Source organism: Homo sapiens, chromosome 13, assembly GCF_000001405.40.
Source record: "Homo sapiens chromosome 13, GRCh38.p14 Primary Assembly".
NCBI lineage: Eukaryota > Metazoa > Chordata > Mammalia > Primates > Hominidae > Homo > Homo sapiens.
Window position 1 is genome coordinate 77,073,992 of NC_000013.11, and position 17,428 is coordinate 77,091,419.

Consider the following 17,428-nt stretch of genomic DNA (forward strand, 5'->3'; position numbering starts at 1 on the left):
CATCCCCACCGCCCCCCCCCCTTTTTTTTTTAAAGAAACGGTCAAGCTGATTCTAAGCTTTATATGGAAATGCAAGAGATCTAGAATAGCCAAAATAACTTAGATAAAGAACAAAGTTAGAACCTGATATCAAGACTTTTTATAAAGCTACAGTAAGTAAGACACTTTGATGGATCAATGGAGCAGAATAGAGTCCAGAAACAGACCTACCATTTATGGTAAATTGACTATTGATAAATGATAGTCTTCTCAATGAATCGTAGTAGAACAATTGAACATCTATATGCAAAAGATAAGCCTCAATTCTTACACTGCACATAAAAATTAAAATGTATACAGTTCTAAAGAAAAGAACTAAAACTATAACATTTCTAAAGGAAAAGAAGAGAATATCTGTGTGACCTTGGGTTCTAGACCATACATAAAAATCATGAATCAAAAAAACAAGAAAAAACTGGACTTTATCAAACTTAAAAACTTCTGTTCTCTGAAAGATAAGACACAGACTAGGAGAAAATATTTGAAAACACATAATTGGTAAAAGACCTGCAAAGATCTGTATGTGAGTGTTCACAGCAGCTTTACTAATAGTAGCCAAACAGCAGAAACAACCCAAATATCCATCAAAAAATGAAAGGATAAACAAATTACGGTAAATCCATATAATGGAACACTTCTCAGCAACCAAAAGAATGAACCATGGCTACATGCTACAACATGGATAAATCTCAAAAGCATTACACTAAAGTGAAAGAAACAAGACAAAAAGGCTACATTCTGAGTGGTTCCATTTATATGACATCCAGGAAAAGGCAACACAACACTGGCAGAATATAGTTCAGTAGTTGCTAGGCTCTAAGTGTGAGGTTGGGGGATTGCCTGCAAAGGAACATGAGAGAAATTTGGGGAGTGATGTGTTTTAAAACTTGGTTGTGGGCTGGGCATGGTGGCTCATATCTGTAATCTCAGCACTTTGGGAGGCCAATGCTGGCAGACTGCTTGAGCCCAGGAGTCTGAGACCAGCCTGGGCAACATGGCAAAACCACATCTCTGCAGATATATTAAAATCAGCTGGGCACGGTGACGTGCACCTGTAGTTCCAGCTACTTGGGAGGCTGAGACAGGAGGATCCATTGAGCCCGGGAGGTTGAGGTTGCAGTGAGCCGTGATCATACCACTGCACTCTATCCTGGATGACAGAGAGAGACCCGGTCTCAAGCAAAACAAAACAAAACAAACTTGATTGTGATAATGATTTCACTAGTGTACACAAGTAAAAATTCATTGAATGATACAGTTTAAAATGAGGAATTTCTGTATGTAAATTGTGCTTCAATAATCTAACTTAAAAAAAGATTCTCTTAAAAATCATGTTATTTCATGGGCACACACATGACAGTATAACCTTTCCTACTCAACCTTAACTCCTCAGCATACACTCTCCCACCCTTAGGCCAGTCTCTCTGATCAGTCCTTGCTCCCATTCTCTCTACTAATCTCATTTGAATCCCTTCATTCTCTTTCAGATCTAACTCCAGTCCAATATCCCCTAAGAAGCCTTCTCTGACCACTCCAGGGCACAATGATCTCAAGGTACTCTGAAAGCCAATGTCATCTGCAATTTTTTTCACACATTTAATAACTTGCTTTTATACTATATAGTATCTTTGTTGATTTCTTTTTGGGGGGGGTGAGGGGAATGCAGAGGGTTCATAACCAAGAACAGAATGCAAGCTTTTTGAGGGCTTGCCATTCTCACAATTGTTTAGTACAGAGTTGACATCTGCTAAAATTCAATTGACTTAACAGGTAGTTACACAGTCTTGTAGTCATTCAAATGAAATCTCCAAAAGATGTTGAAAGAAGTTACCAGCATTTAAGAAATCTTATTTTTTTCAGACCTCAAACAAAAACAGGACAATGATTAGATACTACTGTATTAAGAAACACAGGGTGAGACAAGGGAAATCCTTGAAATTTATCTTTCAAAGGGCTGCCAAGGTGATTATTTGTAGCATTTAAAGACACTAGAATATTGAGACTAGTCAGAGTTGACTTCTCTTTTTGCAAATGGATGAAGTACAAAAGTTTTAGGTATAGTGTTTTAGTCAGGACCGAAAAAGTAAAGCAACTGTATTTTTGCAAGAAATTTCAAGAACAGTAACAAAGAGTAGTTATTCTAATAAAAATTTACTAAACATGTGTGTGATGCTACCATGATGGATACAAAGACAAATTAGACATGGACTTGGTCTTTAAGAAGCTATGGTTCAGTAGAAGAGAGAAAACATCCATGTAGATAAACATAAGAGAAAAATGAAGAAGAGACACATACAGATTATTATGAACTCCAGCAGAGAGAAAACTGCTTTTGTTTGGGGAAATCATAAACAAATTTCATGAAGAGGATAAATCGTAAAAAAGTTTCATGAAGAAGACAGTACTTTTGAGCTGAACTGTGAAGGACAGGGACAATGGAGGAGGGAGAAGATAACTGATGGGGTATAGCACAGAAATGATTACAAATGAATGCAAAAACCCAAGGTATAGAGCAAATTTGCTGTTACTTAAAATACTAGCTAGATTATACATGAATAATGAATTTCTTTTAGATAGTTCCTTCATCTTTCTAAGAACAAATATGAACTGCATAAAACTGTTATTACATATCCATCAAAATATACAGCAATAAATGAATTATTTCACTGAAAAAAAGAATAAAAAAGGGAAATAAATATCTTTAGAATACAAATAAATACATTGTATACTTTTTCTTCTCCTTCAGGTGATGACAATAGTGCTTTTTCCTCTTGTTCTGGTGTAGGTTCAGCATCTCCAGAGATGAGCTTTCCAAATACCTGATGAAGATATGCATGTGAGAAGGAATTAATGACAGGCATTAACACTATATTGGCCAGAGGACTCATTAGCTGATTCCGCAGGTTTTATAATATGCTACTCTTGCTAATATACACCACTATTTTTCTTAATTACAAATGCAACATGGAACTCAGGTGTTTAGGGCTATGAAAAGAAAAAATGGGCAACATTTATAGCCAGAAATTTCTGTAATAAGTTTCACAAAATATTTTGTTACACTCTTAAAATATATTACATCAATTATCCTGTGCTAGAATATGTTGTAAGGACACTCACTTGAGACGTAATCAGTCTGAATACTCGCAGAGTCTCAGCTTCACAGTTCCTCTGCTGGGCCACACTGGCTGAAATCTGGCCAGCTATTTTTGTGCTTTCACCATCTTTCCAGCCCAGGACTTTGACTTGTCGAACTCTCAGTGTATTTTCTGGGCCTTTTAATTCAATTTTTATGATGTGATTATCCCCTCCTGGAAGTTCACTTGTTACCCAGCCAATGTGCCTGGAATCCAGATCAACCTGGTTGAGTAGAAAAGAGGCAGGAACCTGATTCAGCTGGATCACTTTTATCACTGTGCTGGACTTAGCATTGATACCAGCAAGCTCAAATAACAAAGAATTGCACAGAGTAAAGGTTATGAGGTTATTTCACACTGATTTTCTTATTTCAACCAGGTGAAGATAAGTAATATTATTTATAGTAGCTATTACACAGATGAAGAAACTAAGGTTAATACAGGTTAAGGGATTTTCAGTAAATGGTGGAATTGAGAATTAAAATCCAGGCCTGACTACGATATGGCTTCCGAGCAAAATTATATGAGTGAAATAATTACAAATAATTTATATGACTGTACTTTATCTATATCATCTGTAAGTGGAAACCTCACAAGATCAGAAAAGGGTTCTTTTTTTGTGCATCCTCACATTAAAGTACCATTTAAAGATAAGGGACTTTAAAGTGCAGTTACTTAATATGTTTTACTTTTGAACAAAAATTACATAATATGTAACTTCACACTTGTGATTCCTTATTTCACTAATTTTCATTGAGAATATGACTTTTTTTTTCAAGGATTAAATGTTAATATACTGTGAAATAGTTCTTGACACTATTCCCTTCATAAAATAAAAACTGTTCTTATGGCATTTAATAACCAAGAAATGACCTGGCGATTTCTATGTGATTTAAATAGACATTAAGTTGATATTATTTTAATTAATAATGTCAATTTTCAAAAAGGGGTATTAAGTATAAACAAACACAATCTCATTGAATAGGATTATTTTCCCAAATTCTTCAACAATTTAAACAAAATTTATTATATGTTTAGTCCAAAATCTTAATTGATTCCTTCAATGTGATTTGAAAACAAGCAAGCAAGCAAGCGATTGGCCAACTTTTTGTGAGATAAAGTAGCCAGTGAGGAACAGATTTGACAAAGTTTCATGAATACAAGTAAGGGAGCTTGAGCACAGTCTCAGACACATGCCTAGATAAAACTTAACTTGTTTCTAAAGTTGGTTTAAACTGACTTGCAACCTGGATATAGCTGCAGTGTTATAAGTGTTATAACAGACAGATTTTTCAGGCCAGAGGACAATAACCTGTATTAACTCAAAGTATAGGTGAAGTAAGGTTTTAAGTGTGAATGGGATCTGTGATAAATTTTAAGATACCCTGAGTCTTTGTTGGGGAGTAGGGTAGGGAGACTGTAGGTACAATATAATTGCTCATGACTGGGGAACATTTAGGAAAACAGGTGAGATGTCCAGCACAGGGATGGTGGTTACTATTCCTATGTTTTGGACCACTTGTCAATTTAGTGTTCTGTAAATAGATAATTCCCTATAATACTTTGGTTGTGTGCCAAGGGTGGAATTCAATAGTGAAGGCTGAGAAGAAGAAATTTCTCTCTAGGTAGCGAAACATTTAATGACAAAATTTCAATTACCTGCTTTATTCTGCACAAATCTTCTACTGCTTTGCCAGTTAAGAAGGTCATTGAGGTAACTTTATTCTGAAATAGACAATTCACAATAGTTAATATGCTATATTCCTGCTTCAGAACTTACAATGGTTTCTCATGACCTACTAATACCACATCAACTCTTCTGCCTGTCTCTTATGGTCCTTCCTGATTGACCCCACCCCATCCCTCCAACTAACCACGGTTCCTATAACTTTAGTCTCATTCTCACAAACTCCATCTTAAATTGCACATTTCAGCCTCTCTCCAGGTGCTCTCTCACAGCTTGACATTCCCTCTCCTTATTCAAAGTCTAAATATTCAGATTCCTTCCTCATGAAGCCTTTCAACAAATCTGCTTGTCACTTATGTCAGACTCTTGTTGCTATATTTTCATTACTTTTGGAAGTATAAAGAGGGAAGGTAACTGAACTAACAAATACTTATGAGTGTCACAATGTACCCAGACTTCCTTACAGATTTGAAGTAGGATATATGAGAGGAGGTTCTATCCCCCAAGATACTTGCCAAACTAGGGAAGGCAACATTAATACACAAAATAAATGTCAAACAGTACAAGTTCAATACATGTTCAAACTAGTGTCAAATATCTTAAGGCTGAATAAGTTTTACGCAAAGCACATCAAGAAATAGATTAACATTAATTCCTTGGAGAGCTGCATAATATGAGTGCTGTAGGCTGATACAACTCAAATCAACAAATGCTGTGTACAAGGCTCTGTGGTAGGCAGGTTGAGGAACATGGAGGTACATAACTCAAGGAAAACATACATACAGGTTGAGTATCCTTTATTAGAAATATTTGGGACTAGAAGTGTTTTGGATTAGGGATTTTTTAGGATTTTGAAATACTCTATTTGCATTATCCTTACTGGCTGGGCACCCCAAATCTGAATATCTAAAACCAGAAATGCTCCAATATGCATTTCCTTTAAGTGTCATATCTGTGTTCAAAAAGTTTCAGATTCTGTAGCATTTTGGATTTTCAGATTTGGAATGCTCAACCTATAACATAGAGGAAGCCTGTTAAAAGGAAAGTAGATGTCAGCTTACATGTTGGGAATTTTGAAAATGAATACTGTTATGATTATTTCCTCTTAGAAAAGACAGAAGTGTTAAATTGATTGCAATCATTGTTCTGAGGGAGAGTATGTCCTTGCTTAAAATGTACCATGAGCCAAAGATAGCTTTGCACTGAACAGTGAGTTCTAGCTACAAAAATGTTTTGCTTTGTTACACTTGACTTTCCAGTAAGATAAAGTAGTTACACCAGTGGAAATTCTTAGGTCTGAGGAGGAAATAGCTCATATTATATTAGCTAAGCCTCTTTTACTTACTCAATACCAGGGAGGAATAGAACCTGCACTGATGTACAGGAGTTGGAGGTTGCTCTGATTGCAGACTGGCCTGCATCCAGGTTATCTGAGACCCAATCCTACCACTGTGGCTCTTCCTGAGAAAGGAAATATGCAAATGGCACAGGAGAAGCCAGGCAATGGTTCAAGGAGAGCCATTAATACTGTATCTGCTAGCAAGCCACATCCATTCTGAGGAAAAAAATTCTAAATGAGGTAGAAGAAAGGCAGTCTGGCAGTTAGTGCTATTTCTTTCTTGGTTGTTAATACTCAAGCAAATAGGACTCTTTTTTCTTGTTTAGTGCCTTTTATAAAAGAATATTTAATTCAGTTGAAACACATGGATGAACTAGGCTGAAGAGAATATAAATTATGATTATTTGGGACAGTCTGAAACTTATTTTTTATTTCATGAGGACTGTGGCAAAGTAGACACTTGAAGATAGGCTGGGTGCAGTGGCTCATGTCTGTAATCCTAGCACTTTGGGAGGCTGAGGTGGGCAGATCACTTGAGGCCAGGGGTTTGAGACCGGCCTGGACAACATGGTGAAACCCTGTCTCTACTAAAAATACAAAAATTAGCCAAGCATGGTGGCGTGTGCTTGTAATCCCAGCTACTCAGGAGGTTGAAGCAGGAGAATCGTTTGAACCTGGAGGCGAAGGTTGCAGTGAGCCAAGATTGTGCCACTGCACTCCAGCCTGGGTGACAGAGGGAGACTCCATCTCAGAAAAAAAAAAAAAAGCTGATTACACTATAGGTCAAAGATTATTATTAAGTGCCACCAGAGTAATACAAAAAGAATCAGCAGAGGGAAAGAGTAATTTTTTAGAGGAGTTACTTAGAATTTCTCTGCTGAGTTTGAGAGACCCTGGAAGAATTGATCAGCAGAGTTTAAGGGGAGGACTTCCAGGTCACGGGAAAATCTTAACCAAGGGAATGGCAGCAGAAAATTGTAGAGCAGACTTTCATTTTGCTTAGCTGTAGCCATGGTATATTTGTAATCAGACCTCTTTTCAGAAATGGAATTCCACAGTGCTCCCAATCATATTAATTTGTTTTTAGACTTAAGATTTATTTGGGGATTATAGCAATGATGTTTGGTTGGTGAAATTCCAGGTGATAAAGCTTGTTGCTAAATTCAGAAATGAAAGTGCATGAATACTAAGATCTGAAAAGAGCTAAAGAGCCGTAAATCACGTTTGCTTTCTTACCCCAAGATCTCGGGAATTGTCCACGTGAACAGACACATAGCGGGCATTGATTCCTTTTACACAGTTGATGGTGATGTTCTTAGTTTTGTTTTTATCTTCATCTCCTGATTCCCAAAAGGTTTCTGTGGAGCCGTCTGTCAAACTGCCAATCATGGCAGGTCGGCTTGAAGTTTTTATGTCAACAATGCTGGTTAAGTCCTTTAAGCACATTACTATGCATAATTCCTATCAGAAACAAATATAAGTACTTATGATACTTAAAAGCAAATCTTTCGTGATGATAAAACAAACAGGTATAAGATAAAACATAATGGAAGACAGGATCAAATTGATTATGAATAACTTACAGTTTCTCCTTTGATGTATTATTAACTAACAGGACAACCAGGATAATAACTGAAATGACTGACCTGACTCATAGCTTCAAAGCCAGACTGTATACTGATGCTAAAACTCTCTTCACTATCGCCATCATCTGACTTTGACAAAATATTGTTAATGTGATGAAAGACGTTGCTCTGATGAAGGAACTGGTGATCAGATTGCTTGAATTTGAGACTCCAGCACCTAAAAAGGCGATATATAAGCAATATACGAAATAATTATTTTCCAGGAACATCTAAGGAACTCTTAGATGAGTACTCTGTAGCTAATATCTCAAGAAATTTTAATGTTCTAGTAACAGACATTTTAAAAATTCAGGGAAGAAAATCATTCCTATTGTTTTTGTTTTTGAGAAATAAAGGTAACTTCTTTGGAACAAGGTAAATTCTAAGGAAAGTTGACCCATTTTAAATATAAAAGAATTAGACAGATGAAGATCAAGGCTACAGAAGCAAAAAGGGTAATGAATCTATTGTGTAAACAAGTGGTACACCAACTGCAACAACCCCTCAAATTTATTACTCTTACAATGCCATACTAATTCATCAGGGTATAGTTTATCTTGTAGTTCAAAAATCTTGTGAGGAGGACAAAGAGAAATCTCTCTTCCACTGGTCTTATCATTAGTAACATGGGAAGCCCAAGCATTCCATCAATCTATTTCTTGTATACATTAATTAGGAGAATTTATTTATAAGTGTGAGTCCAGTATGTGAATCTAGTAACAAGGTTCACAGTGTAAAAGCAATGCTAAATTCTCAACACATTTCAAATTGAAATTGGAATCTGTTGAGCATCTGTGATGCTCCTTAAGGTGCTTTTAGGACTGGGTGCATACAACCAGGCTCTGTTTTCCCCAAGATTCTTTTCAAGTCAAAACTCTATTTTGGTTTTTGTTTTTGAGATTTCATTTTCCCTCTCTCTTTTTGGGACATTTAAGTGATTTGAGGTAGGAGACTGGGGAAAGTGAGGGAGATTGCTACAGTGATAATTTAGGGCACTAAGAATTACATTAGCCACATTTTACAGGAGGGCAAACAAATGTTAACTAAGAGGAAGGACCATTCTAAAAATTATGACTGTAAGGAGGGAGGCACCATCTATATAATGTAGGGATTCTATCTTACTATTTAAAGAGCTTTTTTTGGAGCATTTCATACTTTGAATATTCCATAAACTCTCTTGTCCAATGTACCTAGGATATGTGGATACCAAAATTACCTCAGGGCCATTTGCTGTAATGAACTGCCGCTGGGGAGAGACATCATAAGGTCTGAGATGGTCTGCAGCAAGCGGTGAAAGGTGTGTGGTAAAGGATGAGCAGCTTCCCCGGCAATCACTATGTCTGAGAGTGGATGTTCACATACTCTTGTATCTTTCTCCTAAGGCAGAAATTGAAACAAGTTTATCAGTTTGTGTGCTGGAAGGAATCCTCTTCACAAAAGACTATTATGTATACTTAAAAAATGGTCATGTAACAGAAATACAAACAACAAAACCAAATTGTACCCAGAAAGATACAGTAATTTTAACTAATTATGCTTGTATTATTTTAGGGAAAAAAGCTGTAAGTTTAGTCACAAGCAAAATCAGCATGCAAATGAATAAATGTATCAATTCTAGTGTACTCACAAAGATACCTGTAGGGTGAATCCACATGTGTATGCATGTGTATGTGTAGTGTGTGTGCATATATATGTATGTGTATGGATATATACACATACATATATGTAGGTATGTTTTGTGTGTATGTTTATGTATAAAAAATAACATATGTTTAGAAGTTGGGGTGGTCACTAACTCATACAGCATTTTTATGTGAATTAGAAAAAAAAGCTCCTTTCTACGCAAATGGACCACAGCTAGGAAAGAGAAGTAGGGGTTGAATTTCATTTCTCATTACAACCCTCAGATGGCTCCATTAATAATATTAACTATGGAATAACTTTTTATTATTTTGAGTAGATAACACACATCATAATAAAATATTCAAGAGGTATAAAAAAATACCATAAAAAGTCTCCCTGTCTCTACAGCCCAGCCACCTAGATGCCCTCCCACTGGCAATTTCTATTACCAGTTTCTTGGACTGTCTATAAATATTGTTCATTTACACAAATGGCAGCACTGGAAACAAACTGATCTGTGTTCTTTTAACAATAATTTATCTTTGAGATTATTACTTATTAGATATGTATGTAACATATATTATCCCACTGCATAGTATTCTGATGAATAAAAATACCATAGTTTATTTCATCAGTCCACTTCAGAACAGTCATTTAGGTTGTTTCCAATCTTTTGTTTTTATATAACATTCTGCAATGAATCAACTTGTATATCTGTCTTTTCACACATGCATATATGATAAGGAGAACTTCATAAAAGTGGAATTACTGAATGATTTTTAATGTGAATTTTGATAGATCTTACCAAACCATTCTCTAAGAAGCTGCTACTCCACAGCAAAGAATGTTTGTTCTTCCATCTTGCTACCAATGTAAGCCCATCAAACTTTTTAAACTATGTCACTGAGCTAAGTAAAAGATGGTTGCTTTTTGCCTCCTTCTTTGTGCATATATTGATTACTGATATAGAAGTTCTGGTTTATATTATCTTCTACTGATATAGAAGTTCTGGTTTATATTGTCTTCTAAAGAATGTAGTTTTGTTCTTACAGGGAGATAGCAGGCCATCTAGATTCCATCAAGGCTTGGCATTCGACTTTGTTAGACTGGGGTTATTTCAGTTTTGCCCTTGATTTTAGGCACTGCCCTTACTCCTAAGGCATGGTCTGTATTCCTTGAGTATGGTCTTTCTGGGGTTTCAAGGGCATGCCAGGAGTATTCATCACGCTCACCCCACCTCTGGTTGGACTAAAACTTCAGAACCCAGCTCTGAAGCTAAGAATCTGTTCAGTTCTCAGCTTACAATTCATTTCCACTGCTAGATCCTCCAGAGAAATTGCATGCCCAGTCTAAGAGTGGCCAGGACCCTAGGGATATTTTTATGCAAAAATTTTAGACTCCCTTTCTGCAGCTCTGTACCACTAGTGCCCTGCTTCCCACATCCCAAAGTTACAGTCCTAAACTTTGATCTCTGCCAACACAACTGACGTACTCTGCTTGGGCTCTTTTCCCAATTGTGGGGCTTACCTCATGCCCTTTTCTTCTCTCAAGGATTACAGCCCTGTACTGGTCACTCCTCAGAGCCTATGAACAATTGTTTTAAATATTTTGCCCAGCTTTTTGTTACTTACTATAAGAACTAATGCTGACACTGGCTGTTTCATCGTAACTATAACTAGAACTCTGCCAAACAACAAGTTTTGAGATGTACTATTATTGCCATTCCATTTAAAATATTTTCTGTTATAATTCTTCTTTGATGCAACTCATTTGGAAGCGTTACTTAATTTCCCTATAAATATTTTTCTTGTTATTGTTTTGTTATCTAATTCTTATATACTAGCAATAAAGACTGAGGACATGGTGGGAAGAAAACCAATTATTTCAAGTTTGTTAAAACTTGCTTTATGTGTCCAGTAAACAGTCAATTTCCATAGACATTTGTGTGTATCTGAAAAGAATGTAAACAACTATATGCAATGTTTTGTATATTCTATCAAGACTGTCAATCATTCAAATCTGTGTACTTTCTGATTCTTTTTCTCTGCCTGACCTATCCAGTACTAAAAAGAGTGTTATGGTACTATACACAAAACAGCCACAAATTCTCTGTCGCTCTTTCCATCAACAGGTGGAGTTTATTTCTCAGTCTTTGAATTTGACCGGCCTTGTGAATTATACTAGCTAATGGAAGGTGGCAGAAGCATGGCATATGAGTTTAGTGTTCGCCATTTTGGCTTTGCAGCTTCTGTGCTCTCTTTCTTGAATGCTTCTGGCATCTGAACAAACCTAGGCCAGCATTCTGGAGGATAAAAGAGCTCAGGGGGTACCACTTGAAGCACACTATGTAACCAAAACAGGAAAGAGTCATTCCTCTCAGTGGAGCCTTGCTGCAATTGCCAACCCACAGACTGTCAGCAAATAAACAACTGTTTTAGTCCAGTGAGTTCTGGGGTAGTTATGCAGGAACAGATAGCTGTTACAGGTATATGACAATCTCACATTGTAACTGTAGACTGTCCTATTTTTCCTTGCAGTCTGTCAATTGTTACTTTTTTTAAGGTTACAGTATTAGGTAGATACATATCCAGGATTGATCTTTTATCATTTTGTACATCACCATGACATATCATTACTTTTTACATAGTCAATGTTTTTTAAGATATGCCCTCATATTTACACTTTCTTTTCTCTTCATTGATACTCCATGGCCATTTCTCCCAGTTTTTATTCTGGAAATGTCTTTGGTCTTGTTCTTCAAAGACCCTTCAACTGGGTTAACAAGTATTTTCTTTCAGCACGTTGAAAAAAACCAACTGACAGCCTTTTAAACAAACTCAGTATTTTAACTTGTAATGTTGCTACCAAAAATTAAGCAATTATTCTCACTGTCCCTCTTTTGAAAGCTAATATTTTTTTCTGTGGCTGCTTAAAAGATCTCTTTCTTTGTTTTTGGTGTTCAGGTGATTCACTATAATTTGTCCACCATGATTTGTATTTATTCTGCTTGGGGTTTACTGGGCTTCTTGACTCAATGGGTTGTTATCTGTAATCAATTCTGGGAAATTCTCAAGTATTAACTCTTAAACACTGTCTCTCTTCCATTCTGTCTTCTCCTTCTGAAACTCCAAGTAGGTAAGTTGTACATCATTTTGCCCTTCATTGCTCTTAGCAACTTGTATTTTTTATTTACTTTTTCTGTGTTGAAGTCTAGATAATTTCTACAGGTCTCTTATATTTAACCAATTTGTTTGCTGACATGCTATAAAATGTCCAACTGATTGTTTTTTAAATATCAATTATACTTAGATTAATTTTTACGTATTTTCTTTAGTTCTTTATCGAATCCATCATTCTCTTATATTTAGCCAATTTTTTCACTGACATGCTATAAAATCTCAAAACTAAAAATATCAATTATACTTAGATTAGTATTTATGTTTTCTTTAGTTCTTTATCAAATTCATCACTTCATATTTCTTCTTACAATTTCTTCTCATATTTTAAAGTTTCTCTTTTATTTCTTTAAGCATATTAACACATTATTCTACATTTACATAGATAATTACAACCATTGTTGAGGGTCTATTTCTACTGTCTATTGTTTTTGTTAGTTCTTGCTCATGGTGTCTTGTTTGTGAGTTTTAAGAATTTGACTATGATAATGTTGCTTGATATCCTTGGAAATTAACCTAAAATGCCATTCACATAATTTCAGAGTGACTGGGAATAAGATAAATGTCACCTAGATTACTTTCATTTTACAGACATGGAAACCGAGGCCTACAAGTCATACAACTACAATAGGGTAGAAATGAGGCTGAACTCAGGCTCCTAGTGCCCTAATTCAATGCTCTCTCCATTATACAGGCTGCCTTCTATAAAATCCAGGTCTCATTATTAATACTTTGCCCATAGCACTAAAATATTCTTTTTGCTTTCAAGTTAGATCTGCGAATGATTTCATGCAAATTATTGGACTATTTGAAGGTATACTACCAGTTTCTATAAAAATATGCACAATCAAAACAAAAATTTCATTTACTTGTTCTGAATTTTCTTTGCTTGTTTTATTTTCTTCATCCTCTTCTTCCTCTGGTTCCACTGGTGCAGGAGTCAGTGATGCCACAAAATGCCACAGAATATCATGGAGAGAAGTGGTTTGGATGACATTACACAGAAGCCAGTTGAAAGCCTGAAGAAATGACGGTTAAATGAGTTCAAGAATAAAATACATGAGTTTAAAAAGTACTCAGAAATAAAGTACCTCCATGGATTAAGACTTCAAAGAAAGATACTAGAAAATCTTTTTTAATTAAAAAAAATGCCTTATAGTTTTACTATTTGTTTTTCTTTTTAAGAGACAGTGTCTCGCTCTGTCACCCAGGTTGGAGTACAGTGGTGTGATCATGGCTCACTGCAGCCTCAAGCACCCAGGCACAAATGATCCTCCCACCTCAGCCTCCCAAGTAGCTGGGACTACAGGTGTGTACCACCACACCCAGCTGATTTTAAAACTTTTTTTTTGTAGAAATGAGGTCTCACATGTTGCCCACGCTGGTCTCAAACTCTTGCGCTCAAGTGATCCTCCCTCCTCCGCCTCCCAAAGTGCTAGGATTACAAGCATGGGCTACTATGCTTGGCACCTTGAAAATCTGACCTTTATTTCACTGAAAGCACACGGAACTTGAAACAGTTAATAATTTGGGGTTTTAATTTAAAAAAAACAGGAAAAATAATTTATAAGATACAATACCAAAATATTTTTTCAAATCACATTTTACTTTGAAAATTCATTTTAATATTAATTTATTCAAGCACATTTTTTCCAACTTGCATCTGGATGAACACAAAGTGTATCTCAAGCTCTAGGCAAGCAACCATTTACTTAAATATATTCATATAATTCCCATCCATGAAGTGGTAGGTTATTTATCACATTTGATAAAAACACAGATTTACTATATATAGGCCTGTAATATACAGTAATCCTATTATTTCCAGAGACCAAAGGCCCAGAGAAGTTATTACTGGTCAACTTACCACTCAAAAGCCCTACTCCTTATCTTCTTTCCATGATTACTCTGTCATTTCATTCTAATAAAATGACATTCTGAGTATAAAAAGCTTTTAAAAAAAAGATAATCTCAAGATTCAAATAGTAAAGCAATACAGAAATAAATTTCTTTAGGGTGCTTAAATATGAAATTCTAAATTCATTTATATTCATAAACTTTAGAGTCTGATTTTTATAGGAACACTTAATACTTTTAATTGGCTAATGCCTTTTAATTTCACACAATTTCTGTTGGTAAAAAAGTGGCATCGTGAAATAGAATCATCACATGATTTGTATAATCAATGAATCAGTAATTTCATTAATGTCTTCATACCTCCATAGCAAAAACTCGACAAGCAGATTTCCTTAGGGCCTGTTTCATTGCTATTTCAAGACCTTCTAGATCATGATGTTGTATAACAAAAGCTAAAACTGGCCACTGGAAATTTCGTTCTCCTTTAGAAAGAGAGCTGTGGGCTGAGATTAGCCGAGAAAGCTCAGGAGACGGATGTCTCAAAAGGGAAGAACCAACTTCTATTAAAGAAAAAGAAAATTATTAATTTTCATAGGCAGTGCATATATATTTAAGATAATAATATCTAATATATTCACTTAAAGCCTTTGTCATTGGTTTTTTGAACATGACACAAATCATAACAATTTCAACTTTTACTGAGGAAACCAAGGTTCAGAAAGATTAAATATGTTACTCTCTGAAAGTCATATAGCTATTAAGTTGTAGAGGTGGGTTTTGAATCAGAGCTGAATCTAAAGTTCACCTTTTCTAAAACACTCTAAAAGCTAAGTGATTTATATTTTCTCTAAATGAAATCTACATCTCATCTGCATCATTTTCTAAAAGATGGCTTTATAAGAAACATTTCTTAACAGGAGGTCAAAAATATTTGTTGAATGAACCTATAAATTGCTGGACAATCTTCAATAATGTTTTTCTTAAAAGTCTTCAGTAAGATAACTTAATCATCTGACTATAATTTTTAGGCCAAATCTTCATTTTAGCAAGTGATCTCTCTGATAATTGATCACTATATTACCCTGTTCTTCTTGGGTTTTTAAAATTATTCTTGAGGTAGAATCCCCAGCTCCAATTTGGGGCTGTTGATACCAACTGGTCCAGATCATGTAACTGTTTTTTTTTTTTTTTTAAATCGATTAAGGGCTATTTATATCCCCAAAGTTTTATTATCTACTTAGAATGATGGCAGCTCCAAGAGTTATCAAGCTTCAGTTGGGGTGGAGAGATAACTGTGAATGTGTACGTCATTGGAACTCCTGGTCCACAAAAGTTTAGTGGAAGGGATAATGGTTGTAACATTTGGCTTAGATACCTAACAAGTAAGATTGTAAAGGTCAATTTATTCTCGAACAATCACTGAATGATCTCCAGATTTCCCTTCAACTAAGATGCAAAATTTAGAGATGCACATTTATAGCTATGTCATATAGAAGGAATGTCAATCACACATTAGAAATTATCCCATGCCTTTTCCTTCAAAAATTAAATTTTAAAAATTATATGCAAATAAAACAATTTTTTTATTTGTAGTAGTCAGATCACTCAATATTCTTTTTTATCCTCATACTTACCAGTGTCTCCACTGTTAACTCTTCTTCTAGGAATAGCTTTAACTCGTGCAGGTAAAATGGAGTGTTGTTTATCATATTCGGAAGCAACAACTGAGTATGATCTTTGGAAGACAGTTCTCTTTGCAAGATCAGTATCAGTTATGGGACTGGTTTCTAAACTGTACATGGAACAATGCAACAGATACAAACTCAGAAGAGCTGAATGAAATGTAACTATACTTATAATGATGCAAAATATGTGACTCAATATTTCATGTGGAGAAACAAAATCAAAGCCAAATTGATAATCTCTCTTTAAATCATAATTTGATCTTTTCAAATGCAGTAACATTTTGACTGATTTCAGCATTGTACCTTAAAACTTATGGTTTTCTTAAATCTACTTTGTATTTTAAATGAAAAAGAAGAAAGGTTTCCAAGCTCCTTTTAGAATCAAAAGCACTGGGGTGGAATTCATGTATCATAATATTCAGGAAAAACAGTCAGATATAATCGTAAGTGCACCAAATAGAAAGAAAATGGATATGTACACATGAAAACCTAATAAAACAGGAAGCAAAATTTGGTTCCAAAGTTTTCTTTTGGTGTCTTCAGTGTTCTGTGAGGTTTCTCACTCTTGGGAAATGTTGCCCAAAGCCCTTGGAGGATGGCTGCATCAAGGTGTCATGAGAGGTAACAAACTGATTTTTGGCACCAGTGTTGTATTTACACTCTATAAAAGAACTTAATGGTTTTATTCAGGCTTAAGTAAACTAACAGCTTTTCTATTTATTAAAGCAACATTTAAAAATACTTACAAAGTTATTAAGAGAGCTATACAATTTCCTTTATTGACACATTTTATAAAAAAAGAGAAATCCCTTCTCTTTCTTATTTCTCTAAAACAAATTTAGAAACTATTCTTTTCGTGAGCTCCTTTTTCTGTCACCTGAATTCAAATTGGAATATTTTTGCTCACCGTTGGTTCTGGAGTTTTTTCCATCATTCAAGCCAGGTTTGAAATCCTGTGTCCCTTGGTAAAATTATCTATTTTCTAATAGACGGCTAACTGCCTAGGTGTTTTCTTTACTCACCACTTCTCTAAGCTTATGTACATTCTTGTTTGAATAGACTATAAATACTGTACATAACTGATTGGCAGTAAATGTCCCTGGGTGTTAGTATAGGTTGCTTGGTTCCAGAATGACTAGAATACAGGGAAACATTAACTTAATTCACTTTATATATGGTGTTACTATAAAGCACAGACATTTGTTCTGTTTTCAGAGGAAGTTTTCTACTAACTTAAAAAAAATTACACAAATTTAAAAAGTG

The 17,428-nt window shown here is 35.2% G+C and overlaps 1 protein-coding gene and 2 long non-coding RNA genes across 3 annotated transcripts in view; 1 reads left to right on the top strand and 2 right to left on the bottom strand.

Moving 5' to 3' along the window:
• MYCBP2 (MYC binding protein 2) overlaps positions 1-17,428 on the bottom strand; it is a 282,438-nt gene that overhangs the window by 29,335 nt on the left and 235,675 nt on the right. The window contains exons 60-68 of the mRNA NM_015057.5: positions 16,115-16,272; positions 14,841-15,040; positions 13,493-13,642; positions 9,041-9,201; positions 7,846-8,002; positions 7,436-7,660; positions 4,833-4,898; positions 3,157-3,396; positions 2,760-2,858 (exon numbers count right to left, since the gene is read on the bottom strand). Coding sequence (NP_055872.4) covers positions 2,760-2,858; positions 3,157-3,396; positions 4,833-4,898; positions 7,436-7,660; positions 7,846-8,002; positions 9,041-9,201; positions 13,493-13,642; positions 14,841-15,040; positions 16,115-16,272 — 1,456 coding nt within the window. The remainder of the gene's footprint in view (positions 1-2,759; positions 2,859-3,156; positions 3,397-4,832; positions 4,899-7,435; positions 7,661-7,845; positions 8,003-9,040; positions 9,202-13,492; positions 13,643-14,840; positions 15,041-16,114; positions 16,273-17,428) is intronic.
• Positions 1,523-13,785, top strand: MYCBP2-AS1 (MYCBP2 antisense RNA 1). Its single transcript, NR_046716.1, has 4 exons — positions 1,523-1,593; positions 2,825-2,942; positions 9,019-9,121; positions 13,561-13,785. It is a non-coding gene; the product is annotated as an MYCBP2 antisense RNA 1 (long non-coding RNA).
• Positions 6,520-7,199, bottom strand: MYCBP2-AS2 (MYCBP2 antisense RNA 2). The gene is made up of 2 exons (NR_170173.1): positions 6,923-7,199; positions 6,520-6,670 (listed from the first exon to the last, which is right to left on the bottom strand). It is a non-coding gene; the product is annotated as an MYCBP2 antisense RNA 2 (long non-coding RNA).